The sequence below is a fragment of the Homo sapiens genome, chromosome 7 (assembly GCF_000001405.40).
Source record: "Homo sapiens chromosome 7, GRCh38.p14 Primary Assembly".
In the NCBI taxonomy this organism is placed as follows: domain Eukaryota; kingdom Metazoa; phylum Chordata; class Mammalia; order Primates; family Hominidae; genus Homo; species Homo sapiens.
In genome coordinates this window covers 1,016,523-1,041,383 of record NC_000007.14, presented here as the reverse complement: position 1 = coordinate 1,041,383, position 24,861 = coordinate 1,016,523, and the positions used below count along the sequence as shown (strand labels likewise).

Genomic DNA, 24,861 nt, shown 5'->3' with positions numbered 1-24,861 from the left:
GTTCCCCTGCAGCGCGGACCCCAGGCCCCCTTCCCCGCAGCGCGGACCCCAGGCCCCCTTCCCCGCAGCGCGGACCCCAGGTCCCCTTCCCCGCAGCGCGGAGCCCAGGTCCCCTTCCCCGCAGCGCGGAGCCCAGGTCCCCTTCCCCGCAGCGCGGAGCCCAGGTCCCGTTCCCTGCAGTGCGGAGCCCAAGTCCTATTCTGGAGCATGTGGCCACCACCTTGCCGTGCAGGGGCCTCCCTCCCTCCTGCAGTCTCTCCATTCCCTCTTCCTAAATTCCGTCTGCACAGCTTCCAGCCTGGACCTTTTCCATGTTCTGCAGAAGCAGCTGTTCCCACAGGGAACGTGGGAGGTGCCCAGGATGGGTCTCCAGCATACTGCCGAGCCTCTGGCTTCGGGTTGACCCCGGGAGGCACTGTCAGCTGGAGGCCCGGCATGCAGCAGCCACTCACTCACGGAGCGCGGCTGCAGCCGGCACGTCTGCCTTTGCTCATCCTCCCAGCCCTGCTCCGAGCTGCGCCTTCTCGTTGTTTATGTGTTCTAGACGCTAGGCTTTTGTGTATGTGTGGTTTGTACATATTTTGTCCCAGTCCATAGCTTATCTCTTACATCCTCTTAATGAGGGTTTTGCAGAGAAAAGGCTGTTTTCTTTTTAATTTTGGTGAAGTCTAATTTATCCTTTTTTTTTTTTTTGTTCTTTTTAATTTTAAGGATCTGCTTTTGGTGTCATGGTTAAGAATTCCTCAATGACTCCCAGGTCCCAAACATTTTCTCCTACATTTTCTTATCAAAGTTTTATAGTTTTACATTTGACATTTAAATAGATGATCTATTTGAGTTCATTTTTTGTGAGGTTTAGGTTGTTGTTTTGGTTTTGTTTTTTGTTTTTGAGACAGGGTCTCACTCTGTCATGCAGGCTGGAATGCAGTGGTGCAATCATAGCTCACTGTAGCCTTGAACTCCCAGGCTCAAGCAATCCTCACTCCTCAGCCTCCTGAGTACCTGGGAGTACAGGTGCGTGCCACCATGCTTGTCTAATTTTTAAAGTTTTTTTGCAGAGATGGGGGGTCTCACTGTGTTGCCCAGGCTGGTCTCAAACTCCTGGCCTCAAGCAATCCTCCCACCTCAGCCTCCCAAGCAGCTGGGAATACAGGTATGTGCCAGCATGCCCAGCCTGGATTTTTTTTTTTTTTTTTTTTTAAATTTATTTTTTTATTGATAATTCTTGGGTGTTTCTCACAGAGGGGGATTTGGCTGGGTCATGGGACAATAGTGGAGGGAAGGTCAGCAGATAAACAAGTGAACAAAGGTCTCTGGTTTTCCTAGGCAGAGGACCCTGCAGCCTTCCGCAGTGTTTGTGTCCCTGATTACTTGAGATTAGGGATTGGTGATGACTCTTAACGAGCATGCTGCCTTCAAGCATCTGTTTAACAAAGCACATCTTGCACCGCCCTTAATCCATTTAACCCTGAGTGGACACAGCACATGTTTCAGAGAGCACAGGGTTGGGGGTAAGGTCACAGATCAACAGGATCCCAAGGCAGAGGAATTTTTCTTAGTGCAGAACAAAATGAAAAGTCTCCCATGTCTACTTCTTTCTACACAGACACGGCAACCATCCGATTTCTCAATCTTTTCCCCACCTTTCCTGCCTTTCTATTCCACAAAGCCGCCATTGTCATCCTGGCCCGTTCTCAATGAGCTGTTGGGCACACCTCCCAGACGGGGTAGTGGCCGGGCAGAGGGGCTCCTCACTTCCCAGTAGGGGCGGCCGGGCAGAGGCGCCCCTCACCTCCCGGACGGGGCGGCTGGCCGGGCGGGGGGGCTGACACCCCCCCACCTCCCTCCCGGACGGGGCGGCTGGCCGGGCAGAGGGGCTCCTCACTTCCCAGTAGGGGCGGCCGGGCAGAGGCGCCCCTCACCTCCCGGACGGGGCGGCTGGCCGGGCGGGGGGGCTGACCCCCCCCCCCACCTCCCTCCCGGACGGGGCGGCTGGCCGGGCGGGGGGCTGACACCCCCACCTCCCTCCCGGACGGGGCGGCTGGCCGGGCAGAGGGGCTCCTCACTTCCCAGTAGGGGCGGCCGGGCAGAGGCGCCCCTCACCTCCTGGACGGGGCGGCTGGCCGGGCGGGGGGGCTGACCCCCCCCACCTCCCTCCCGGACGGGGCAGCTGGCCGGGCGGGGGGCTGACACCCCCACCTCCCTCCCGGACGGGGCGGCTGGCCGGGCAGAGGGGCTCCTCACTTCCCAGTAGGGGCGGCCGGGCAGAGGCGCCCCTCACCTCCCGGACGGGGCAGCTGGCCGGGCAGGGGGGCTGACCCCCCCCACCTCCCTCCCGGACGGGGCGGCTGGCCGGGCGGGGGGCCGACACCCCCACCTCCCTCCCGGACGGGGCGGCTGGCCGGGCAGAGGGGCTCCTCACTTCGCAGTAGGGGCGGCCGGGCAGAGGCGCCCCTCACCTCCCAGACGGGGCGGCTGGCCGGGCGGAGGGCTGACCCCCCGACCTCCCTCCCGGACAGGGCGGCTGGCCAGGCGGGGGGCTGACCCCCCCACCTCCCTCCCGGACGGGGCGGCTGGCCGGGCAGAGGGGCTCCTCACTTCCCAGTAGGGGCGGCCGGGCAGAGGCGCCCCTCACCTCCCAGACGGGGCGGCTGGCCGGGCGGAGGGCTGACCCCCCCACCTCCCTCCCGGACAGGGCGGCTGGCCAGGCGGGGGGCTGACCCCCCCACCTCCCTCCCGGACGGGGCGGCTGGCCGGGCAGAGGGGCTCCTCACTTCCCAGTAGGGGCGGCCGGGCAGAGGCGCCCCTCACCTCCCGGACGGGGCGGCTGGCCGGGCGGAGGGCTGACCCCCCCACCTCCCTCCCGGACGGGGCGGCTGGCCAGGCGGGGGGCTTACCCCCCCACCTCCCTCCCGGACGGGGCGGCTGGCCGGGTTGGGGGGCTGACCCCCCCATCTCCCTCCCGGACGGGGTGGCTGGCCGGGCTGAGGGGCCCCTCACTTCCCAGTAGGGGCGGCCGGGCAGAGGCACCCCTCACCTCCCGGACGGGGTGGCTGGCCGGGCGGGGGGCTGACCCCCCCACCTCCCTCCCGGACGGCATGGCTGGCCAGGTGGGGGGCTGACCCCCCCACCTCCCTCCCGGATGGCACGGCTGGCCGGTCGGGGGGGCTGACCCCCCACCTCCCTCCCAGATGGGGCGGCTGGCCGGGCGGGGGGTTGACCCCCCCCCACCTCCCTCCCGGACGGGGTGGCTGCCGGGCGGAGATGCTCCTCACTTCCCAGATGGGGTGGCTGCCGGGCGGAGAGGCTCCTCACTTCTCAGACAGGGCAGCTGCCGGGCGGAGGGGCTCCTCACTTCTCAGACGGGGTGGTTGCCAGGCAGAGGGTCTCCTCACTTCTCAGACGGGGCGGCCGGGCAGAGACGCTCCTCACCTCCCAGACGGGGTCTCGGCCGGGCAGAGGCACTCCTCACATCCCAGATGGGGCGGCGGGGCAGAGGCGCTCCCCACATCTCAGACGATGGGCGGCCGGGCAGAGACGCTCCTCACTTCCTAGATGTGATGGCGGCTGGGAAGAGGCGCTCCTCACTTCCTAGATGGGATGGCGGCCGGGCGGAGACGCTCCTCACTTTCCAGACTGGGCAGCCAGGCAGAGGGGCTCCTCACATCCCAGACGATGGGCGGCCAGGCAGAGACGCTCCTCACTTCCCAGACGGGGTGGCGGCCGGGCAGAGGCTGCAATCTCGGCACTTTGGGAGGCCAAGGCAGGCGGCTGGGAGGTGTAGGTTGTAGTGAGCCGAGATTCACGCCACTGCACTCCAGCCTGGGCACCATTGAGCACTGAGTGAACGAGACTCCGTCTGCAATCCCGGCACCTCGGGAGGCTGAGGTTGGCGGGATCACTCGCGGTTAGGGGCTGGAGACCGGCCCGGCCAACACAGCGAAACCCCGTCTCCACCAAAACCAGTCAGGCGTGGCGGCGCGCACCTGCAATGGCAGGCACTCGGCAGGCTGAGGCAGGAGAATCAGGCAGGGAGGTTGCAGTGAGCCGAGATGGCAGCAGTACAGTCCAGCTTCGGCTCCGCATCTTCCTTTCTGTTCTAAAAGCCTTTTCATTTCTTTTTCTTGCCTTATTGTACTGTTCCAAACTTTAGGGAGGAGGCATTTCTCCTTTACTATTAAGTATGACATAACTACAGATTTTTTGTAGATGCCCTTTATCAGACTGAAGTAAATCCTTTCTATTACTGGTTTGCTAAAAAAAATTTTTTTTTGAGACAGGGTCTCACTCTGTCACCCAGGCTGGAGTGCAGTGGTGTGATCTCGGCTCACTGCAGCCTCCGCCTCCCAGGCTCAAGCAATCCTTTCACCTCAGCCTCCAGAATAGCTTGGACTACAGGCGCATGCCACCACGCCTGGCTAATTTTTTTTATTTTTAGTAGAGACAGGGTTTCGACATGCTGCCCCGGCCGGTCTCCATCTCCTAGGCTCAAGAGATACTCCTGCCTCAGCCTCCCAAAGTGATGGGACTACAGGCATGAGCCACCACGCTTGGCCGTCTGGCTTTGAGCAGAGCTCCTAAATGGCCAGCGAAGCGTTCGCCTTCAGAGCCAGAAATGTCTCTCTTGTTTGGTCTCCCCACCCCGATCCTCTCAATCCCGCTCCTCCAAAGGAGCAGCCGCCATCTTCCCCTATCGGATTTTTTTTAATAGACTTTTTTTTAAGAGTAATATTAGGTTCACAGCAAAATTGAGCAGATGATGGAGTTTGCATGTACACCCTCCTGACACACATGCACGGCCTCCCCCATTATCAACACCCTGCACCCTGAATAGTGCATTTACAACAGTGATGACCCTACACGGCCACACCACGAGCACCCGAACCCCACACGGCCACACCACGAGCACCCGAACCCTACACGGCCACACCACGAGCACCCGAACCCTACACGGCCACACCACGAGCACCCGAGCCCTGCACGGCCACAGCACGAGCACCCGAGCCCTGCACGGCCACACCACGAGCACCCGAGCCCTGCACGGCCACAGCACGAGCACCCGAACCCTGCACGGCCACAGCACGAGCACCCGAACCCTACATGGCCACAGCACAACCGCCCGAAGTCCGCAGCTTATGGGGGGCCCCTCTTGGTATGGCATGCTCTGTGGGTTTTGATAAATGAATATCCACTGTGCATCCACTGTTACAGCACCACACGCAGCAGCTTCACTGCCCCAAAAGGGCCCTGTGCACCACCCATTCATCCCTCCCTCCCCACCACCACTGACCACCACGGAACCCTTTCCTGGCTCCATGGTGCTACCTGTTCCAGAATGTCATGCGGTGGGACCCCACAGCGTGCAGCCTTTTCAGCCGGCACCTGTCACTTCGCAGAATGCTGTTAAACTTGCTCACGTCTTTTCACGGCATGACAGAGCCTTTCTTGTGCTGTCTGGATGGACTACAGTTATCCAGTCCCCTACTGAAGGGCATCTTGGTTGCTTCCAATCTGTGGCAGTTATGAATAAAACTGCTCGAAATATCTGTGTGCAGGTTTCATGTGAACCTAAATTTTGAGTTCATGTGGGTGAATACCAAGGGGCACATTTGCTGAATCCTGTGGCAGGATTTTGCCAACTTTGGTAAGAAACCACCAGCTGACTTCCAAGTGACTGTGCCATTTTGCAGTCACTTCCCACAGCGATGAGTGCATTCCTGTTGCTCCACATCCTCACCCGCATTTGGTGATGTCGGTCTCTGGATTTGGGCTATCGTGACAGGTGTGCGGTGCCTCACTGCTATTTTCATGGGCGCTCCCTCACGTCAAAGGATGTCGCGCGTCTGGCCCCATGCTTATTTGCCATCTGTAAATCTTCTTTGGTTCGAGGTTTATTGTTTTCCTGTGGACATCCCGTTGTTCCAGCAGCATTTGTTGAAAAGATTTCTGTCCCCATGGAATTGCCTTTACAAACTTTGTCAGAAATCAGATTGCTCCATTACTGGGTTTACGCTCAGAGGAATATAAATCTTTCCACCATAAAGATGCATGCATGCAAATGTGCACTGCAGCCCTGTTCACAGTCACAAAGACATGACACCAGCCCAGCACTGTTCACAATAGCAAAGACATGACACCAGCCCAGCACTGTTCACAGTCACAAAGACGTGACACCAGCCCAGCACTGTTCACAATAGCAAAGACATGACACCAGCCTAGCACTGTTCACAGTCACAAAGACATGACACCAGCCCATCACTGTTCACAATAGCAAAGACATGACACCAGCCCAGCACTGTTCACAGTCGCAAAGACATGACACCAGCTGAAATGCCACCAATGGCAGATTGGATGAAGAAAATGTGGTACATATACACCATGGAATACTATGCAGCCATTAAAAAGAGTGAGATCATGTCTTCTGGGAACATGGATGGAGCTGGAGGCCATTATCCTTAGCAAAGTAAGGCAGGAACAGAAAACCAAATACCACATGTTCTCACTATAAGTGGGAGCTGAATGATGAGAACTCATGAGCACAAAGAAGGGAACAACAGACACAGGAGTGAATTTGAGGGTGGAGGTGGGAGGAGGGAGGAGGAAAAGGAGGGTGGAGGGTGGGAGGAGGGAGAGAAGGTGAAAAATAACTACTGGGTACTAGGCTCAGTACCTGGGTGATTAAATAATCTATACAACAAACCCCCATGACACAAGTTTACCTGTATAACAAACCTGCACAGGCACCCCTAAACCTAAAATAAAATTTTGAAAAAATCACATTGCTAACATGGGGCACCTCCTGGGTTCACTGTTCTCTGTTCCTCTGTGTGTCTCCCACTGCCCGTGCTGCACCACAGCTGTCCGATGTCCCGAAATCAGGCATGCAGTTCCTTCTAGTCATCGTATTTCAGCGCTGTTTTAGCTATCCTTGTTACTTTGCTTTTCCATATACGTTTTAGAATAATCTTGTCTTTACCTACAAAAAAAAAAACCCTGAAATTTACGGTAGGAGTTGCATGAAACATGTACCTCAATTTTGGGAGAATTTATGTCTTGACTCTGCTGTCTGTTCTGTCCATTAACACAATGTGTCTCTCCATTTATTTGGATTCTTCAAAGTTTGTTTCTTCAGTGTTTTGTGGTTTTTAGCATTTAAGTCCCATACAGGTTTTGTTAAATTTACAGCTAAGCATTTCCTTGTTGCTGAGCAGTCGTAGGTGGTGGTAGCACGGGAATGCCAGTTTCCGCGAGCCCATTGCCAGCTCCCTGACTGTCTGCGGTCCCATGCCTTCTGAACCCACTCACAGTCCCAGGATTTATTTCGTAGATTCTCTGAGATTTCCTGCATCAACGGTCATGCCGCTTGCAAATACAGAGAGTTATATTTCTTCCTTTCTGGTCCTTTTCCTGCCTGTGGCCCCCGGCCAGCCTGATGCTGGATAGCAGTGGGGACAGTGGGAGGGTGGACACCCTTGCCCTGCTCCTGGCCTTGGAGGAGCACCTGCAGATGTGCCTCACCTCACTCAGGAGGCACCTCCATTACTGATTTCCTGGGTGTCTCCTCCCCTCACTCAGGAGGCACCCCCATTACCGATTTCCTGGGTGTCTCCTCACCTCACTCAGGAGGCACCCCCGTTACCGATTTCCTGGGTGTCTCCTCACCTCACTCAGGAGGCACCTCCGTTACCGATTTCCTGGGTGTTTACCACGCGTGGGTCTTGAACTTCGTCACATGCCCCCTGCATCAGTTGGTTTGACCACGTCGTATTTCTTCTGTAGCCTGTTGATAGGGTGCATTATATCGATGGTATTTTTTTTTTTTTTGAGACGGAGTTTCGCACTTATTGCCCAGGCTGGAGTGCAAATGGCGTGATCTCGGCTCACTGCAACCTCCACTTCCCAAGTTCAAATGATTCTCCTACCTCAGCTTCCTGAGCAGCTGGGATTACAGGCATAACCCACCACACCCGGCTAATTTTTGTGTTTTTAGTTGAGACGGGGTTTCTCCGTGTTGGTCAGGCTGGTCTTGAACTCCCGACCTCAGGTGATCCGCCCGCCTCAGCCTCCGAAAGTGCTGGGATCACAGGCGTGAGCCACTGCGCCCGGCCCAATGGATTTTTAAATAGTGAGCGAGCCTTCCACCTCTGGAGTGAACTCCACTTGTCATGCATGGTGTGTGACTCTTTTTCCATGTTGCTGAGTAGGATGTTTGCGTCTGTATTTATGAGGGATATTAGTCCGTAGTTTTGTTTTCATCTGGTTTGGGTATCAGGGTTCTACTAGCTTCACAGACCGAGCTGGGCTGTGTTCCCTCGTATCGAGGTAGTGGTAGGTCTTCTTTCAGTGTGTAACGGACTTGCCGAGACTGTCCGTGGCCTGGGTCCGCACCGCGAGTGCACAGAGGAGAGGCCCTCCAGCAACCTGGGGCTCACAGGTTTCCCAGAGAGGGGGTATCCGGGCAGGGTAGTGAGGAGCGTGCAGGATTGGTCAGGCAGACAGTGTGACTGGGCTGGAGGAAGGATGCTTGGGGCAGAGGCGCTGCCCACATACGTGCAGTACCCTAGCATCGTGCTTTCTGGCGACTCCGACCAGTGTTTTCTCTTGGGGACCTGCTGATTGGGTGGTTTTCCTGCCCCTGCCTGTCATGGACAGACTGGAGCAGCCCAAGGGCACCACTGTCACCTGAGGGTGCCTGGCGGTGTGGGCGGGTGGCTGCAGCCTCTGAGGGCCACTGTCACCTGGGGGTGCCTGGAGGTGTGGGCGGGTGGCTGCGGCCTCTGAGGGCCACTGTCACCTGGGGGTGCCTGGCGGTGTGGGCGGGTGGCTGCGGCCTCTGAGGGCCACTGTCACCTGGGGGTGCCTGGCGGTGTGGGCGGGTGGCTGCGGCCTCTGAGGGCCACTGTCACCTGGGGGTGCCTGGCGGTGTGGGTGGGTGGCTGTGGCCTCTTAGGGCCAGGGCCTCCACTTCTCAGGGCCTCCTGGCCCTCACACCTCCACAGTGGATTCTCGTGATGCCACGAAAGTGATTTGGCAGACAGGAGCCTCGCCGAGGCCTCCACGGCACCTTCTCTGCTCTGGCCAACAGCAGATCCACCTGCGGGGGGCTTCATCCTCAGCCCCAGGTTCCATTTCAGAGACTTTATTTTCAGGCGGGCCGAGTGCGAGGGACGTGTTGGGGCAGCCCCGTGGGCCGGGAGCAGTTCTCTGGATCTGGGGCCCATCTACCCTGCATTCTCTGGGGCGTGGTGTGTCTGGGAAGTGGGGCCCACTGACCACCTGAGCAGGGCAGTTAATTAAAAGAATGCGTCAGACATAGTTATGTCTTTTTTGAATGACTCAGAATGTTCCACATGGTCTTGGGGTGCCTGGGCCCAGGTTTCGAAGGCGAATTCTCATTACCTGGGGAAGGTTTGGTGACCAGGTTGCTCTCACCCCCTCGGCACGTCCTCGCAGCCACCCCGCACTCTCGGCCCGTTCCCCGGGTGGTGTTTGCTGGCCGCCCCCCGCACCTGGACCACTCTGCCCTCCCTGCAGGTCTCTGCCGCCCCGGACCACTCTGCCCTCCCTGCAGGTCTCTGCCGCCCCGGACCACTCTGCCCTCCCTGCAGGTCTCTGCCGCCCCGGACCACTCTGCCCTCCCTGCAGGTCTCTGCCGCCCCGGACCACTCTGCCCTCCCTGCAGGTCTCTGCCCCCCCGGACCACTCTGCCCTCCCTGCAGGTCTCTGCCGCCCCGGACCACTCTGCCCTCCCTGCAGGTCTCTGCCGCCCCGGACCACTCTGCCCTCCCTGCAGGTCTCTGCCGCCCCGGACCACTCTGCCCTCCCTGCAGGTCTCTGCCGCCCCGGACCACTCTGCCCTCCCTGCAGGTCTCTGCCCCCCCGGACCACTCTGCCCTCCCTGCAGGTCTCTGGTCCCCCGGACCACTCTGCCCTCCCTGCAGGTCTCTGCCCCCCCGGACCACTCTGCCCTCCCTGCAGGTCTCTGCCCCCCCGGACCACTCTGCCCTCCCTGCAGGTCTCTGGTCTCTGCCCAGGAGCCGCCTGTGGTGCTGTTTCGCTGATTTCCTTCCTCCCCCAACCATTTTAAATCTCAGAAAAACAGCCTACCCTTAACTTTTCTCCTCAGTATTATTACAGCCTCAGCATAGCCTCTCAATGGGCACGCATCTTTGTCTTGTTCTGTCCAGATATGTAGCGTGTGGAACGGCATCCCGTGTACGGAAGCAGTTCACCAGCTATCTGGGGGCCCTTCCTTTCCTCTTGGCCCCTCCTCCTGACCAGGACCTGCCGACCTGCTGGGGGAGGGGGCTCTAGGGTCTCAGTGTGGACCACTGGCCACTGATGCTTCAAGCCAAGGCAGTGGGAGGGCTCCCTCCTGGCCACTCCACCCTTGAGACTGTACTAGGTACAAGGGGCCCTTAGCTCAGCCTGGGTGGATGCATGGACTGGTGCGTTTGTGGAGGTGGTTGGATGTGCCGGTGCAGTAAGCAGCCTTGCACCTGCTGCTCTGTGTTGGGGCCCGGGGTGTGGGCTGTGGGAAAGCAGGCATGGTGGCACCTGCCCAGAGAGAGCCCCACCTGCCCAGAGAGTCCCACCTGCCCGGGGAGAGAGAGAGAGTCCCCGCGTGCCCCGGGAGAGAGAGAGAGTCCCCCCCTGCCCCGGGAGAGAGAGAGTCCCCGCCTGCCTGGGGAGAGAGTCCCACCTGCCCAAAGCCACAAGCCTATGTGTGCCTTCATGGGTCTGGGGACAGCACAGCCCTACAGGTGGGTCACTGGGCAGGACCTAGGAAGGCATAGCAGCTGGTATGTGTCCACCTTTGCTGGGCTTGGTTCCCCCTCTGTGAAGTGCAAAGAGCAGGGTAGCTGGAAGCGTGAGATGGAGTGGAGTGAAGCCCCTGGGTCCTCAGCCGGCACCACGTCCCCATCCCTGTGGGGCTAGTGGCCCAGCCCGGGGGACTGCACCCCACTGCCAGGCCAGCTTCTCCCGCTCCTGCTCTTGTCCTTGTCTCCCAAAGCAGCCCAGAGCCACCAGCACAGAACTACGGGGAGAAGAAACCTGGTCCCCGGGCTCAGGTGTGGAGGCGGGTGGCTGTGCGAGTTGGTGCGTTGGTGAAGACGGCATATGAGCAGGATTGGCGCGTTTATGGAGGTGGGTGGATGCGTGGGTCGTTGCGTTCGGGAAGACAGGTGGATGCGCGGAGTTGGCGCGTTCATGGAGGCAGGTGACTGTGTGGGCTGGCGCATTCATGCTGGGGACACACTGGGGAGTCAGCACACAAGGCCACTGGGGCTCAGAAGGCCCAGAATTGAGTCCCTCCCATGAAACCGGTGACTGAGCACACACTTCCTTCTCTGAAAGCGGGGTGCGGACACCAGTGGCAGAGACACTAAATCGGAAGCACTGCTGCATAGCCGCTGCAGGCAGTGGGCAGGACATCCCTTCCTGGCCTCCTCGTGTCCACCAGCTCCAGGAGGCCTCCAGTCCACCCTTGCCTGCCCCGCTGCCACCACAGAGCAGGCCTCTGCATGGGAACAGGCCTGGAGATGGTGAAACAGCTAGGAGGAAAACAGCCAGCCCCAGGCCTGACTCCGGCCTTGCAGATCCTTATTCAGCGGGGGACTGGGGTGCCCACACCATCTCCCCAGGCAGGGGTGGCCTCCAGAGCAGGGCCCCGCGACCAGAGCTCAGTGTGTCCTGGACCCTGACGCCTTGAGAGGGAGTCTAAGCCTCTCCTCGCCCTGGAACCGGCCCAGCCTCCGGGCTCACTGTGCTCTGGGTGGCCAGTGCGGCTCCCTCGCACCATAAAATTGATCTGCAAGGCAGGCACCGTGGTGCATGCTTGTAATCCCAGTCAGTGCTTTAGGAGGCCAAGGCAGGAGAATCACATGAGTCCAGGAGTTCCAGCCTCCTATGCCAGGCAACATAGTGAGACCCCATCTCTCCAAAAATTAAAAATTAGGCTGGGCATGGTGGCGCACCTGTAATCCCCGTACTTTGGGAGGCCGAGGCAGGAAGATCACTTGGGCCCAGGAGTTCGTGAACAGCCTGGGCAACGTAGTGAGACCCTGTCTCTACAAAAAATTTAAAAATTAGCTGGACACAGTGGTGCACTCCTGTGGTCCCAGCTACTCGGAAGGCCAAGGTGGGAAAATCACTTGAGCCCAGGAAGTTAAGGCTGCAGTGAGCTACAATGGTGCCACTGCACTCTGGCCTGGGCGACAGAGCAAGACCCTATCTCCAAAAACAAACAAGCAAAAAAACTGATCTGCAGTCTTAGTCCCAGGGCAGGGAACTCACAAGCCAGAAGAGATCTAGACGCCCTCTGTGTGGTGAGGAAAAGGCTGCGTGACTCATCCACGTATTCAGCCAGCCGGTATTGAGCACCTCCCCTTTGCTGGACACGTGGATGCCATGGGAGGGCTAGGCCTCTGCCTGCAGGGCCTGGGCAGGGGAGATGGGGGCAGACTGGGGGAGATGGGGGGACATGGAGTCAGACTGGGGAGAGATGGGGCAGATTGGGGAGATGGCAGACTGGGAAGATGGGGGTAGACTGGAGGAGATGGGGGCCATGGAGTCAGATTGGGGGAGCGATAGGGACAGATGGCGGCAGACTAGGGGAGATGGGGACAGACTGGGGGAGATGGGTCTATGGGGGCAGATTGGGGGAGATGAGAGGATAATGGAGGCAGATGGGGGAGATGAGGGAAGTAGGGGGACGATAGGGGCTGGGTGGGGGCGGTCAGAGGCAAGTACGTGCAGCTGGCAGGGGCCCTGCGCGGGCGGGGGTGCGCCCTCCCCGCAGTTCGCGCAGGTGGACCGGAGACCCGGGCGGCCAGAGAGCCTCGTCGGAGGAGCAGTGGGGGCTGCAGCAGGGTCCACCCCCGCCTTCTCAGCGCCGAGGCCCCGCCCCGGCTCTCCCACCCCCGCGCCGAGGTCCAGTCCCCGCAGGCGCGCTGGCGTCACGGTCCAGCCGGCTGGATCTGGTTCCAGCCGCGCCGGGCCGGCCGGGCATGCGCAGTGTGGAGGCGCTGAGGCTGCTGGAGGCGCGGGCCGGGCGGTGCGCACTGCGGGCGCATCCCTGCCCCGGCGCCGTCCGTGCCCGCGGGACCTGACAGCCGGGTCAGAGGTCAGTGCGCGGGGCCAGGGCCCGCATTCGGGCTGCAGGGAGGGGATGGGAGGGGCCCTGCCCCAGCCCCGCCCCGCGGCGACAGGTGGGCGCTCCCGTGGGAGGCCGTGGCGTCCAGACGCTGCTGCGGGCCCCGCTCCGCCCTGCAGACCCCGGGCCGGCCGAGCCGCGCTTCTCGGGGCTCCGCTGCGCGCCGGTCCCCGAGCAGGCCCTGGACGGTCCCGCGCCCTCCTCCCACTTACTCTCCTGGGGGCGCAGGGCCGGGCCGCGGGTGGCAGGGTGGGGGTCCAGGCCCTGCAGGCACTGCGAGCCCTCGAGCGGCCCCGCAACCGGCCAGGCTCCCCTGCGCTGTGGGGGCGGACCGGGCCCCCAGCCGCGATGCAGCAGCCCCCGGGGGAGACACGAGCTCTGAGGACCCTGGGTGGGCTGGAGTCGTCGGCCGCCGCGTGACCCTTGAGAGGGCCTGTGTCGCCCGCAGCGCCGCCTCGCCCCTCCCTGTGCCGGGGTAGAGGACCCCGTCGGGCGCTCGGAAGCCAGGGGCTTTCTTGCCTGAGGCAAGGCGGCCCCCACTGGCGCGGTGGGTGCTAGTGCGAAGCTGTGTCAACTAAAGCAAAGACTCATGATGAAAACAATTGGGATAGCTTCACTCGGGAGCCTTCCTGAGGACGGCGGAGCAGGCCGGCAGCTCCTTCAAGAGGCTCTGCCGCTGCTGCGTCGGGGCTCAGCCGGGTTTGGGTTGGAGAGCGCAGAGGTGCTTGGAGTAGGTCTTTTATCTTCTGAGGAGGCGGTGGCCCGGGCAGGTGGCGGCCCCGTGCTGGTCCTGCGCTGTGTCCTCGGAGCGTCCTCAGCTGCTGCGCGCACAGCCGGGGGCCGTGGACCAGGCGTCCGCACGGACACGCGAACCGGGCTGCCTAGCCTGCTGCTGGGCCTCACGGCTGCAGAGACGGCGGGAATGGTGACCGTTGCTTCAGAGTCCTTTGCTTATGAGTAACTCACCGAATTGACAGTGATTTTTATGAATTCGTTGTGTTCACTGAGGAGTTGTGGCAAAGTGAGAAAACCTAACCCGTACTTAGTTCCCAGATGTGAGTGTTTTAAACTATGTGTAACAACTAACAAAATTGACATGATGATACACTTCACGGACATTTAATTTTGATCCTGCCATTTCCTCATTTTAGAGGCGGTAACATGTTCTGGTTTTTTTCTCGTTGCTCAAACATCTTCCAGGCTCCTGCACGGCGGGTGCTGTGTCTCCGGGCCCAGGTGACCTCGGGGTGAGAAGGAAGGGGCCTCTGAGATGAGAACATAGTTTTGCTGTTTTCAGTTTATACTCAAAGCCCTGCAGTTTCCTGACAGCACAGAGCACACCTGTCACGCGAGCAGGATGAAGCCCAGAGGCTGCCTGGTGAAGTGGGCGGCGCGCTGGAAAATCCACGTAGCTTTGTTCCCTCCACGGGGAGCGTGCAAGGCCCTCTCGAGCACTACGGGAGCCTCGCCTTCTGCACAGACTTCGGAGCCAGGTGCTGGAGCGGCAGCAACTGAGGGGCGTGGATGTCTTTGCATGGTTCCCATACGTTTTTTAAACGTTAATAATGTGATTTTCAGTAAAGTGGCAGGATCAGCATTGAAGAATGGGGAGCAACTGTGAGCCGATTTCCTGCGAGTGGTTGAGAAGCAGGCTTTGTGTGGTTGGCCGTCCTTGTGCTTAGCGGCTGCTCCTGCCGGAGCTGCCTGCCTGTCTTAGAAACAACGCCGCCTCCGACTGCTAGTTAGCGGTGGCTTCCACAGGTGAAGCCCAGGCAGGTTAGTGTTCTCACAGCTAGGAAGGACACGGGCCTGGCAGGGAGCTGCAGCACAGCCTCTGTCGACACAGAAGCACTGCCGTGCGAACCCTTGCCTCCCGGGACAGCTGTTGCGCGCCCAGCAGCTGGAGCGCTGGCTCTGCGAGGGCTCTTCAGCAATGCCAGGTGCAGCTGGGCTCCACCCTCAACTGGTCCAATAGTAGCGAAAGAAACGAGGAGTGTCGTGAATCGTTAGACAGCGTCCATATGCCTAAGTTCAAATTGGAGCCGCCCAGCCCTACCTGTGGATACAAAGCTGCCGTTCAGTGGGGAGCTGGAGCCGAGGGGCCTATGTGACACCCCTGCATGTGGATGAAAATCACCCAGAGGCCCTGCCAACATTCTGGGAGGTGGCAAGGGGGCAGGGCCTCTGGGATCTGGGGTCACGAGTTCCAGGAGGCCTGCTTCTGCTTCTGCCCAGCAGTTCACTCTTCCCTCCACTGCAGCTGAAGCTTGAGCTGCTGCGGGGCCCACCTGGCCGGAGGCAGAAGGGAGCCCTCCGTCCCAGGCAGCGTCCTGGTGGGTGTCTGTCCTGTGCCAGACACTGGCCACAGAGGCTGAGAAAGGAGAGGACCCCAGCCTGCCTCTGGAGGCCCAGGGGAGGCAGTGAAGGGCCCAAGGCTGGTGATGCAGGAGTTTCCAGAGCGCAGGGAAATACAGAGCAAGAAACGCCAGCCCTCAGCTCCACTGGGGAGCCACGCAACCTCTACCGGTGCTGAGGGGTTACAAAGCTCTGTTACCAGCCCCATTCCTCCTGGATGGGCGAGGTCGGTCCGTATCACACCCCCAACCTCTTGTGCTCTGCGACCTCAGAATACACGGAGCTGTGTCCACAGGCCTCAGCGGCTGTGAGCCCCTCGCCTACACTGGGGGGTCCTCAGCTGACACCTGAGCCAGTGTCCTGTGCCCCAGTGGTGCCAGGGCAGAGTCCCCCTCCCTGACCTGACTTGTGCACCTCGTCACCCACCGCCAGCAGTGTCCCCCCACAACAGGCTTGCTCAGTACAGCACCCAACCCAAGTCCCCAGCACCCACACCCCAGTGAGTTTCCTGTGCCCTATAGGCTCAGCTGCTTCTCGTCCTCCCCCCACTTGGGATCCTTGGAACAGGGAGTGGTTCTTATTTAGGTCCCTGAGGTACCAAGCACAGGCTTTGCTCTTAGCAGCCGCCACTCCAGTGATGAAGCCGTTAGCAGACTGGCCTCTGCAGAGCTCTGCGGGGAGGTGCCTGGCTTCTCCGGCCTCCACCCTGGCCCAGAGCTGCCTCCTGAGCAGCGGATCCCAACCTGCCTGCCCCTGGGGCTGGGTCTCCAGCAGTCAGGACTGAGTTGTTGCTAGCTGCTGACAGGTGTGGGGCGAAGGGGGCGCATTTGCCGCATGTCCCCATTGGCAGCATCTCCACGCCTTCCCTTGTGACACCTCCAACCAGAATAGAGCAGGTATGTGGGAGCCCGCACCTGCTCCCCCAGCGCCCCGGGGTCGTCTTCTGCCTGCTCCTTCTGTCCTCCACACTGAAGAGTGTGCTCCAGCTGGGGATGGGCATGTGTGACGCTGGGGAATGGATACCTGTGAAATGGTGGAGTGTGCATCAAGTCTAAATAGCCGCTCGCAGGATCTGGGGGCTTTTTGTTTTCAGAAACCTGATCTGATCTTTATAAAAAGTGCTCCCCCACTCAGTCAGCCTGGGTGTCCCTCCCGTCCAGGCCAGCAGCGCTGTCTGGCTCGGCAAGGAGGGGCTGAAACTGGAGAGCCCCTGGGAAGGCTCTTGTGGGCCAGGTGGCAGCGGGGAGGGTGGCTCTTGTTCCCCGCCCTCATCCTAGCGTTCAGCAGACTGCCCCACACCACAGGTTTCCATTTTCACCCTTGGGTTAAGAGAAAAGCAGAAATAAAAAGTTTCTAATGTTGCTTGCGAAATTCAGCACTGGCCACCAAAGGCACCTGGGGCTTCTGCGTCTCTCTTGTCCCCTGGGGCTCCTGCGTCTCTCCTGTCCCATGGGTCCGTTTCTTGCTGTTTATTGCAACCCGCCTACATCGTTGGTGTGTGCAGCTGAACTCAGGCTGTTTAGGAAGCCCACGGGCAGGGCTCTGTGGGGCCCATTCCTGGTCCCACGTCTCTGGCAAGGGCTCCTCTTGAGCTGAGGCTTCTGAGCTCCTGCAGGCGGGAGTAGGGAGGCAGGTCCCACTGTCAGCCAAGCTGCAGGGTTTTTAGGAAGAAAGTGGGGGCTGTGCACCGTGGGCTCACACCTATAATCCCAGCACTTTGAGGCTGGCCGGAAGGATCGCTGTGGCCCAGGAGTTTGAAAACTCATGCCTATAATCCCAGCACTTTGGGAGGCCGGCAAGGAGGATCACTTTAGCTCAGGAGTGTGAGAGCAGCCTTGGTCCTATCTCTATAAAAAATTTAAAAACTGGCCAGGCATGGTGGCACATGCCTATAGTCCTGGTTGCTTGGGAGGCTGAGGTGGGAGGATTGCTTGAGCCCAGGAGGTCGAGGCTGCAGTAAACTGTGATGGTGCCGCTGCAGTCCAGCCTGGGCCACAGAGCAAGACCGTGTATCAAAAGGAAAGGGCTGCTGTGGAAGGGCCTCCAGTCCCCTGGCCTGGGCTGCAGGGGCCGCTGCTCCAGCCCTGCCTTCTACATGTGCCGAGATGTGAGCAGTCACCCCTGGAGATCCTCACCCCTTCTCTGTAGAACGAGGAGTTGGGCTGCCAGGGATTGGGGTCTGGGCGCGTTGCTGGTGTGTGTGTGTGTGTGTGTGTGTGTGTGTGTGTGTGTGTGTGTGTGTGTGTGTTTCCTGGGAGGAGGCCCCCACAGTCTTCGTCATGTTCTCCAGGGCCCAGTGGGAAGGAGTTGGAAGTTGGATGGAGAGAAATGTGGAGTAGGGCAGGAACCTCCTTCCTAGGAAGGAGCCTGCGGGGGACCCTGCAAGGGGTCCCAGGTTCCCAGGAGGCCTCGGGTGTGCTGTCAGAGGGGCGCTGGGGCTGGGAGTCTGTCCATGTCTTCAGCCTGGGTCTCGTGAGTTCAGGGAGTTTGAACCTGGGTGGAGAATGAGCCCCTGTGCGTCTTCCCTAACCTCCAGCTGACACGAGCTTCCGCAGACCCCGCGGTGGCGGGTGTGGGCGCTCCCCGTGCCATCTGTTGGGGACACCTCACACATCACTTGCGCTCAGCCCGTGTCGCGGCTGCAGGAGCCACCAGACCTTGTAAATACTCGGATGCCCACATCTGCTCGTCTGTGTCTCCCTGTGGCTGTGCATCAGACCTCACGCGTTTAAAACGTCCTTCTGAGAAGGGGCCACAGGCAGGTGCCACCCATTGCCACGGCACCATGGCAGGAAGCGTCCCATGCTCTGCAGGGGTGGCAGGAAGCGTCCTGTGCTCCGCAGGGGCGGGGCGGCCGCTCTCCCTGTCCTCCAGGAGCTCACGTGTGCCTGCCTGTGAGCGCCTCGACGACAGAGCCGGCGCCTGCCCCAGTGTCTGCGCCGGGACCATGGAGTGGCCAGCTCGCCGCGGAGACGTCGCCGCGCTTTGTAGCAGCCCCTGGACTCGTATGCGTGGGTCTTCTGATGCAGTGTGTTTTATTCGGTATCAACATGGAAGGGGGAGAGCATGGGATGTTCCACTGGTGTCCTAGGGAGGAAGTAACTGGGGAGGGAGGACGGTTGGGGGGGATTCACCTTTAAAGAATTTGAGAGCTTGTTTATTTTGCAGAATAAGAGTAAATTAATCCCCTGTGTGTTTCTGATCATTAAGAAGACCACATCGATGCTGTTGGTTGTGGGACTGTCATTTCAGAGTCCGGATCCGAATGTGGTCCTGGCTACTCTGCGAGGGTTGCCGTGGGAGGAGGTGGTGGAGGGCACGTGGGCGTCCCGTGTTCCCTCACGACGGCCGTCACCTGCGATTGCGTTAAAATAAAAGGCTTAATTTAAAAAACTCTTGTTTCTCAGAAAAAGCAGTTTACTACTGTGAGTTAACGCCGTGGGATTCTAATAATTGAGGTGACAAATCTGATTAAGGTTTTCTTTAAATTGGAACAGAATCCGTACGGGTGCCCCATGAGAGGGCTGTGGGACGTGGGACCAGGCTCCTGACCTTGGAACCCCTGGGTGGGGTCTGAGGCGATGCAGGAGAAAGAGGAGCTCGTGGTCCAGGAGGCGCCCGTGGGTGGGGACATGCCTCCCCGCAGGCCTGCGTCTGTCCTCGTGGGACGGGGCCAGGCTTCTGGTCCTTCCCTCCTGAGCTGCCGTCACCACCGTGGCTCACGAACAGTGCAGCGGGGCTCCTGGTGGTCTGCGAGCAGACTCCGGTGGACTCAGGGTTGGTTGCCCTGTCCAGGGGGCCTCGAGTGCTCCAGGACATGGCCTGTCCGATGTGGCCCAGGCGCCACGCCTGTGGGCCGTCATCGCTGTCACCTGGGTGTGCCGAGGGACTTGGGCTTTCCTGCCACCCCCGCGGAGGATCGAACCTTGTGACCCAGGCCGAGGGAGCTGCCCTGGGTGCCCCTCAGGCTCCTGCTCCCCAGGACTCAGTTTATACCCCAAAACCCAGCCTCGCCCCGCGGAAGGGCGCGCATCCCAGTGTGTTTCCCTGTGCCAGGCACAGTTCTCGCTGGGCGGGTATTTTTGCCGCATGCTTTCTTTTAGTGCGCTGTTTGTGTATGGTTGTTGGTGAGCTGTGGTTTCTGTCTGGTGACAAGTAGGGAGGGGTTAGGGGGGTGGTGTCCTGCCTCCAGCCGACCTGCCGGGGTTCCCAGAGGGCACTGCGGTGGCAGCAAAGCCAGTCACACTGGGGCTGGCAGATTGTCCCTCTCCCATCCAACAGCATGGGGAAATGATTGATGACTGACAGCTGCTGAAGCCCTACTCCTGTGCGGTGGATGGACAGTGCTCCCTGGGGTCCCAGCTCCAACTACTGGCATCTTGTCAAAGCAGCAGCCCAGGTGGCCACCACTGCCGATCAGACTTAATGGATGAAGACAGGAAGGCTGGGCAGAGCCCTTCAGCTTCCGACTCTGGTTCAGTCACTGAAATCCGCAATATCATCTCTGTCAAGGTCAGGTCCTACTGCCACGATGAAAAGGCTTCTGGGGAAGAAGAAAGAAACCTGCCCCATGGGTGCCAGCCTGGAGGTCCACACTAGAGGTCCCTGCTGGGAGATCCTCAGCCTGGAGGTTCCCAACCTGGGGGTCCGTGCTGGGAGGTCCCCAGTCTGGAGGTCCCCAACCTGGAGGTTCTTAACCTGGTGATCCCCAACCAGAAGGTCCCTACTGGAATGTCTCCAGCCTGGAGGTTCCCAACCTGGAGTTCCCTGCTGCGAGGTCCCCAGCCTGGAGGTGCCTGCCTGAAGGTCCCCAGCCTGGAGGCCCTGCTGGGAGGTCCCCAACCTGGAGGTACCTGCCCGAAGGTCCCCAGCCTGGAGGTACCTGCCTGAAGGTCCCCAGCCTGGAGGCCCTGCTGGGAGGTCCCATCTGAAGGCTCCACCTGGTGGTGTCTTTCGTAACCCCAGTCCCCAGCTCTGCTGTATCAGGACGTTACAAACGGCCTGATTGCCCCCAAGAAAGTCGAGGGGTCCTGACCCCTGCACTCCTCCGTTTCACACAGCCTGGGGAGCCCAGAGGAGCAGGACATCCAAGGCCCAGGCCGTCTGCAGGGGTGGTCAGCAGACGGCAGTGATGGGCTGGTGTCTGCCCCTGAGATCAGAGGTGAACAGGAATGGGAGCCTCTGTTTCCTGCAGGTCCTCCCTGCTCGGGAGGTGGGTTCGGTAAGGGCTGGGTTTACTGTCATTCATTTCCTTACATCATCTTGGTCTTAGCTGTGTGAGACTAGCTGTCCCTGCAGTCTGGGAGGGGTTGGCCTGTTCCCCAACCCGCTACAGCCCCCTTGTGTGTGGTATCCGCCAGACATATCTCGATAGTGGGGGCTCCAGGTGGGGGCGCCGAGGGGCCCTTGGGTGGAGACGCAAGATGGGGCAGCGGCTGGCGAGAAGCGAACCTAGGGGGCTCCTCTCTGGGGCCCAGGAAGAGTTCTTGGAGAGGCTGTCCTGGCTCTGACAGGAGAGCGGGCCTCCCCTTTGGTGGGCGTGCTGGGCGGGGCCCCAGGCTGCAGGAGGACTGTGATGGGAGCAAGGGGTGCCCCCTCTCTCAGGGAGCCCCAGGAGGGCAGAGGCTGCAGCGCGTGTTCACAGGACGGGAGCATGAGGGAATGCACTCCGCGGCGTGGGAAGAAACAGTCGTGGGGACCAGGGCATCGCACGCGGGGCCTGCCGCATCCATGCACTGCTGGGCCTGGTGCCCGTGTTCCCGCAGAGCAGCAGACACCACCACTCCGCCGGCCCTTGGATCTCTCCTCAGTGGGAAGAGAGGCTGGGGACGGGCCGGCCACCTGCCGCCTCGCTGGACTTCTGCCCTGGGATTCCTGAGACGAGAGCCGAGCGTCCTAAGCTGCCCTCGTCCAGGTGCCCCGTGGCCTCCCTCGGGAAACGCACTGTAGCTTGGCCTCCGGGCCGCGGTCAGTGCCTGCGGGCCTCTGGGTCCAGGCTGTGGGAACTGTCCACTTCCTGGGAGGGCAGGAGTGAGAGACCTGAGTGGGTGACCCCAGGCAGCCCCAGCCCCCCACACTCCATCAGGAGAAGAGGGGTCAGGGCCACAGCCAACCAGTCTCCGCTTCCTGCTTGCTTCCCACCGCCTCTGCCCATCTGGAAGCCCTGGCTGCAGTGGGGGCCCTCCTCGTGGTGATGGGCCTGGAGGTTCTTGGCGGCCACTGGAGCTTCCTGCAGCCACTAGGCCTGCGCAGCCTCCCCTCTGCCCACAGGGCAGCCCCACGGCCACCTCCGCTCTGTGGTTTGCCTTCTTGGACTCAGGGCTTCACTGTTTTGAAAAGCCCGGGTGCTGCAGTGAGGACCCCGCTCCGCATTTCTGCCGGGAGCTGTGAGCAGCCAGGCCAGCCTCCTCACGGTGCCAGGAAGCCTCTCCTTCTGGCCCAGAGCAGCAGCTGCCCCTTCCAGCATTGACCGTGGGTGATCAACAACCTGGCATGGGGGCAGGATTTTCCCTATAGAACCATTGAACAACACGGACCTGTCAGCTCAAGGTACCTTCTGGCTTTGCAGGTGGCTAGAGATCCATGCAACCACAGGTGGGCCTGGTTGGGCCCCTCCAAACCCTCACCCTCTTCCTCCCTCCCTTTCACTCCCCCCCCCCCGTTTTTTTTTTTTTTTTTTGAGACAGAGTCTCACTCTATTGCCCAGGCTGGAGTGCAATGGCGCGATCTTGGCTTACTGCAACCTCTGCCCCCCGCGGGTTCAAGCAGTTCTGCCGCAGCCTCTCGGGTAGCTGGGATTACAGACGTGCACCACCATGCCCGGCTAATTTTTGTATTTTTAGTAGAGACGGGGTTTCACCATGTTGGCCAGGCTGGTCTCGGACTCCTGACTCAGATGATCCACCCACCTCGGCCACCACGCCCGGACCACTCCCCAGTTCTTGACAAGTCTGCAGTTCCTGCACTGTCCTAGACTATGGAACACCTGGGAGGGACAGAGAGCTTGTCCTGGGACCACCAGCTGGACGAGCCTATCACCCACCCCCGAGGTAGAAGACCTGGGGCGCAGCCCTGATCTATTGATTTTTTTTTTTGAGGGTCTCACTCTCATCCAGGCTGGGGTACAGTGGTGTGATCACAGCTCACTGCAGTCTCGAATTCCTGGGCTCAAGCCAGCCTCCCACCTTGGCCTCCCAAAGCACTCAGATTAACATGTGTGAGCCAGTGCACCTGAGCTCCACCCTGATTTACATAAAGACCACACTCTGGGCTGGACCCCACCCGCCCGCGTGCACACCTCAGCTGGAGCCCACGCCAGGTGCCTGCTCCCACTGGGCAGGAAGTGCGGACCTCCGAGAGGCACAGGCTGGGCCTGCTGGCCATGGGTGTGCCCATCACGACTCCCTCGTCATGTCTCCTCATCACATCTCCTCTCTGCTCGGGGCCAGGCTCTGAGACGCCACAGGCTGATGGCCGGAGCCAGGCGGACTTTGAGTCTGGGTCTGAGATGGCTCCACGTGTACAATGCACACTGGTTTCAAAGCTGTGGAGTGAGAAGAAAGACGTGCTTTCGTTAGTCACTTTTTATATGGGTTACCTGTTGAAGGGGCAACCCCCTGTTCCTGTAGGGCCTCGGCTCTCACTTCCTGACTTGGACCCCACCCGCCAAGCCCTAGTGTGCGTGTCCTGGGCCTGTGCTTCCTGCCTGGTGGGAGCTGGTGCTTAGCCAGGGCTCAATGGAGAGAGCAGAGATGATGGCAGGGGTATGTGTGCACGCGTGTGTATGCGTGCTCGTGTGAGTGGGGATTTCTGCCTAGGGTGTGGGAACGTCTGAGCCCCGTGGGGACTTTGGGTCATTATTTAAATTTGGGCTAAGTTCTACTAGGTCTTCTGTCACCTGCTGGAGTTATTTTCTTTCTGCCACATTTTAGAAAATAAAATGCACCGAACAAACATGGGGTGTTCCTACCGCAGCATGGGAAAGGCGAGGCGCCATCCCACCAAGGCGGGTGTGGTTTTGAGCCCTGGATGCTGGGCCCCAGAGCGCCTGGCCTTGTGTGCAGTGGGGGGCGGGGGCAGAGAAGCCCCTTACCCTGCCGTCCGCAGCTGCCCCTTCCCCGCCGTCCGCGGCTGCCCCTTATCCCGCCGTCCGCGGCTGCCCGCGGCAGTCAGTTCACGTGTTGGGGTGATCCCACTGGAGAAGTCTCCCCTCCAGGAAAGTTCGTAAGCATTGAGTCCGTGTCTTGTTTCCCCAGAAGAAGGTGCAGGAGGGTGTGTAGCTGTCTCGCTGTCCTCCACCCCGCTGTGTGGAGCCCTCCCCACCTCCCCTGCCATCCAGGGATGCTCCCCAAGGGCCCGATGGCAGCGACACTGGAGCCCTGGCCCCGTCACCCGGCTGACATCGTAGGACAGCAGCGCCTGCCTCATGCACACCATCCCCTGCATGGCTACTGGACGGGGTCCAGGCCAGGTGACCCCTTCACCCACACAGCAGGGCACGGCAGGCCAGGCTGGTGGTGTCCTTCCCTGCAGCCCCTTCACCCGCACAGCAGGGCACGGCAGGCTGGGCTGGTGGCGTCCCTCCCCGCAGCTCCAATTTGAGCAGGGAGCTCCTTATCTTCCCTCTGAGAGACAGTGGGTCCTTTCTCTGCCATTCTTTGATGCAGCACGGCCACCACTTCCCCAGGGAGCCTGAGCCTGGGGCCAGAGGCAGAGGCCCAATGCCCACAGCCTGAGGTGCTCTGGGCCCGCGTGGCCCTCAGACCAAGGCTTCCGAGTGGTCCGGGCTCTCCGCAGACCCCACACCCTCAATGACATGCACAGCAGAGGACCAGGGTGCGTGGGTGGGCGCTGCTGTGTGCTGCTGTGTGCTCCTGTGCGCTGCTGTGCGCTGGTGTGTGCTGGCGTGTGCTGCTGTGCGCTGGCGTGTGCTGGCGTGTGCTGCTGTGTGCTGCTGTGCGCTGGCGTGTGCTGCTGTGCGCTGGTGTGTGCTGCTGTGCGCTGCTGTGTGCTGTGTGCTGCTGTGTGCTGGCGTGCGCTGCTGTGCGCTGCTGTGCGCTGGTGTGTGCTGCTGTGTGCTGCTGTGTGCTGTGCGCTGCTGTGCGCTGTGCGCTGGCGTGTGCTGCTGTGCGCTGGCGTGTGCTGCTGTGTGCTGCTGTGCGCTGGCGTGTGCTGGCATGCGCTGCTGTGCCCTGGCGTGTGCTGCTGTGCGCTGCTGTGTGCTGCTGTGCGCTGGCGTGCGCTACTGTGCTCTGGCGTGCGCTGCTGTACGCTGCTGTGTGGTGCTGTGTGCTGCTGTGTACTGGTGTGCGCTGCTGTGCGCTGGCGTGCGCTGCTTTGTGCTGGTGTGT

At 60.4% G+C, this 24,861-nt stretch overlaps 1 protein-coding gene and 1 non-coding gene across 24 annotated transcripts in view, besides 11 other annotated features; both read left to right on the top strand.

Annotated features, from left to right (window-relative positions):
* CHLSN (cholesin) overlaps window positions 1-24,861 on the top strand; it is a 160,294-nt gene that overhangs the window by 96,874 nt on the left and 38,559 nt on the right. For 9 of the 23 annotated variants that reach the window (NR_156697.2, NR_188533.1, NR_146966.2 and 6 more), the window contains exon 1: window positions 13,015-13,126. The exons of 7 other annotated variants lie outside the window; for them this stretch is intronic. Coding sequence is in view for 1 of the 16 variants with exons in the window: in NM_001350969.2 (NP_001337898.1) it covers window positions 19,937-20,023 (87 nt within the window). In the remaining 15 variants the exon portion in view is untranslated. Of the gene's footprint in view, window positions 1-13,014; window positions 13,127-14,356; window positions 16,887-19,792; window positions 23,465-24,861 lie in introns of those variants that run through there. 7 more of the 23 variants (NR_188524.1, NR_188523.1, NR_188525.1 and 4 more) reach the window with 7 other exon arrangements.
* Window positions 223-730: an enhancer, noted in NCBI's record as "H3K4me1 hESC enhancer chr7:1080290-1080797 (GRCh37/hg19 assembly coordinates)". NCBI's record gives its function as "activates a minimal SCP1, AML or CMV promoter by ChIP-STARR-seq in naive H9 embryonic stem cells {active_cell/tissue: H9 hESC(naive)}" and the evidence as "EXISTENCE:reporter gene assay evidence [ECO:0000049][PMID:30033119]".
* Window positions 4,454-4,975: an enhancer, noted in NCBI's record as "H3K27ac-H3K4me1 hESC enhancer chr7:1076045-1076566 (GRCh37/hg19 assembly coordinates)". NCBI's record gives its function as "activates a minimal SCP1, AML or CMV promoter by ChIP-STARR-seq in primed H9 embryonic stem cells {active_cell/tissue: H9 hESC(primed)}" and the evidence as "EXISTENCE:reporter gene assay evidence [ECO:0000049][PMID:30033119]".
* Window positions 4,976-5,498: an enhancer, noted in NCBI's record as "H3K27ac-H3K4me1 hESC enhancer chr7:1075522-1076044 (GRCh37/hg19 assembly coordinates)". NCBI's record gives its function as "activates a minimal SCP1, AML or CMV promoter by ChIP-STARR-seq in primed H9 embryonic stem cells {active_cell/tissue: H9 hESC(primed)}" and the evidence as "EXISTENCE:reporter gene assay evidence [ECO:0000049][PMID:30033119]".
* Window positions 10,429-10,558: a silencer, noted in NCBI's record as "silent region_17840". NCBI's record gives its function as "represses an Ori minimal core promoter by ATAC-STARR-seq in GM12878 lymphoblastoid cells {active_cell/tissue: GM12878}" and the evidence as "EXISTENCE:reporter gene assay evidence [ECO:0000049][PMID:35858748]".
* Window positions 10,619-10,718: a silencer, noted in NCBI's record as "silent region_17839". NCBI's record gives its function as "represses an Ori minimal core promoter by ATAC-STARR-seq in GM12878 lymphoblastoid cells {active_cell/tissue: GM12878}" and the evidence as "EXISTENCE:reporter gene assay evidence [ECO:0000049][PMID:35858748]".
* Window positions 12,371-13,104: an enhancer, noted in NCBI's record as "H3K27ac hESC enhancer chr7:1067916-1068649 (GRCh37/hg19 assembly coordinates)". NCBI's record gives its function as "activates a minimal SCP1, AML or CMV promoter by ChIP-STARR-seq in naive H9 embryonic stem cells {active_cell/tissue: H9 hESC(naive)}" and the evidence as "EXISTENCE:reporter gene assay evidence [ECO:0000049][PMID:30033119]".
* Window positions 12,371-13,839: a biological region, named in NCBI's record as "hESC enhancers GRCh37_chr7:1067181-1067915 and GRCh37_chr7:1067916-1068649".
* Window positions 12,608-13,387: a silencer, noted in NCBI's record as "silent region_17838". NCBI's record gives its function as "represses an Ori minimal core promoter by ATAC-STARR-seq in GM12878 lymphoblastoid cells {active_cell/tissue: GM12878}" and the evidence as "EXISTENCE:reporter gene assay evidence [ECO:0000049][PMID:35858748]".
* Window positions 13,105-13,839: an enhancer, noted in NCBI's record as "H3K27ac-H3K4me1 hESC enhancer chr7:1067181-1067915 (GRCh37/hg19 assembly coordinates)". NCBI's record gives its function as "activates a minimal SCP1, AML or CMV promoter by ChIP-STARR-seq in naive H9 embryonic stem cells {active_cell/tissue: H9 hESC(naive)}" and the evidence as "EXISTENCE:reporter gene assay evidence [ECO:0000049][PMID:30033119]".
* Window positions 13,418-13,627: a silencer, noted in NCBI's record as "silent region_17837". NCBI's record gives its function as "represses an Ori minimal core promoter by ATAC-STARR-seq in GM12878 lymphoblastoid cells {active_cell/tissue: GM12878}" and the evidence as "EXISTENCE:reporter gene assay evidence [ECO:0000049][PMID:35858748]".
* Window positions 17,690-18,247: an enhancer, noted in NCBI's record as "nonconserved acetylation island sequence 100". NCBI's record gives its function as "activates a minimal heat-shock promoter by reporter assays in Jurkat T cells {active_cell/tissue: Jurkat}" and the evidence as "EXISTENCE:reporter gene assay evidence [ECO:0000049][PMID:17135569]".
* MIR339 (microRNA 339) lies at window positions 18,358-18,451 on the top strand. The gene has a single exon (NR_029898.1). It is a non-coding gene; the product is annotated as a microRNA 339 (primary transcript).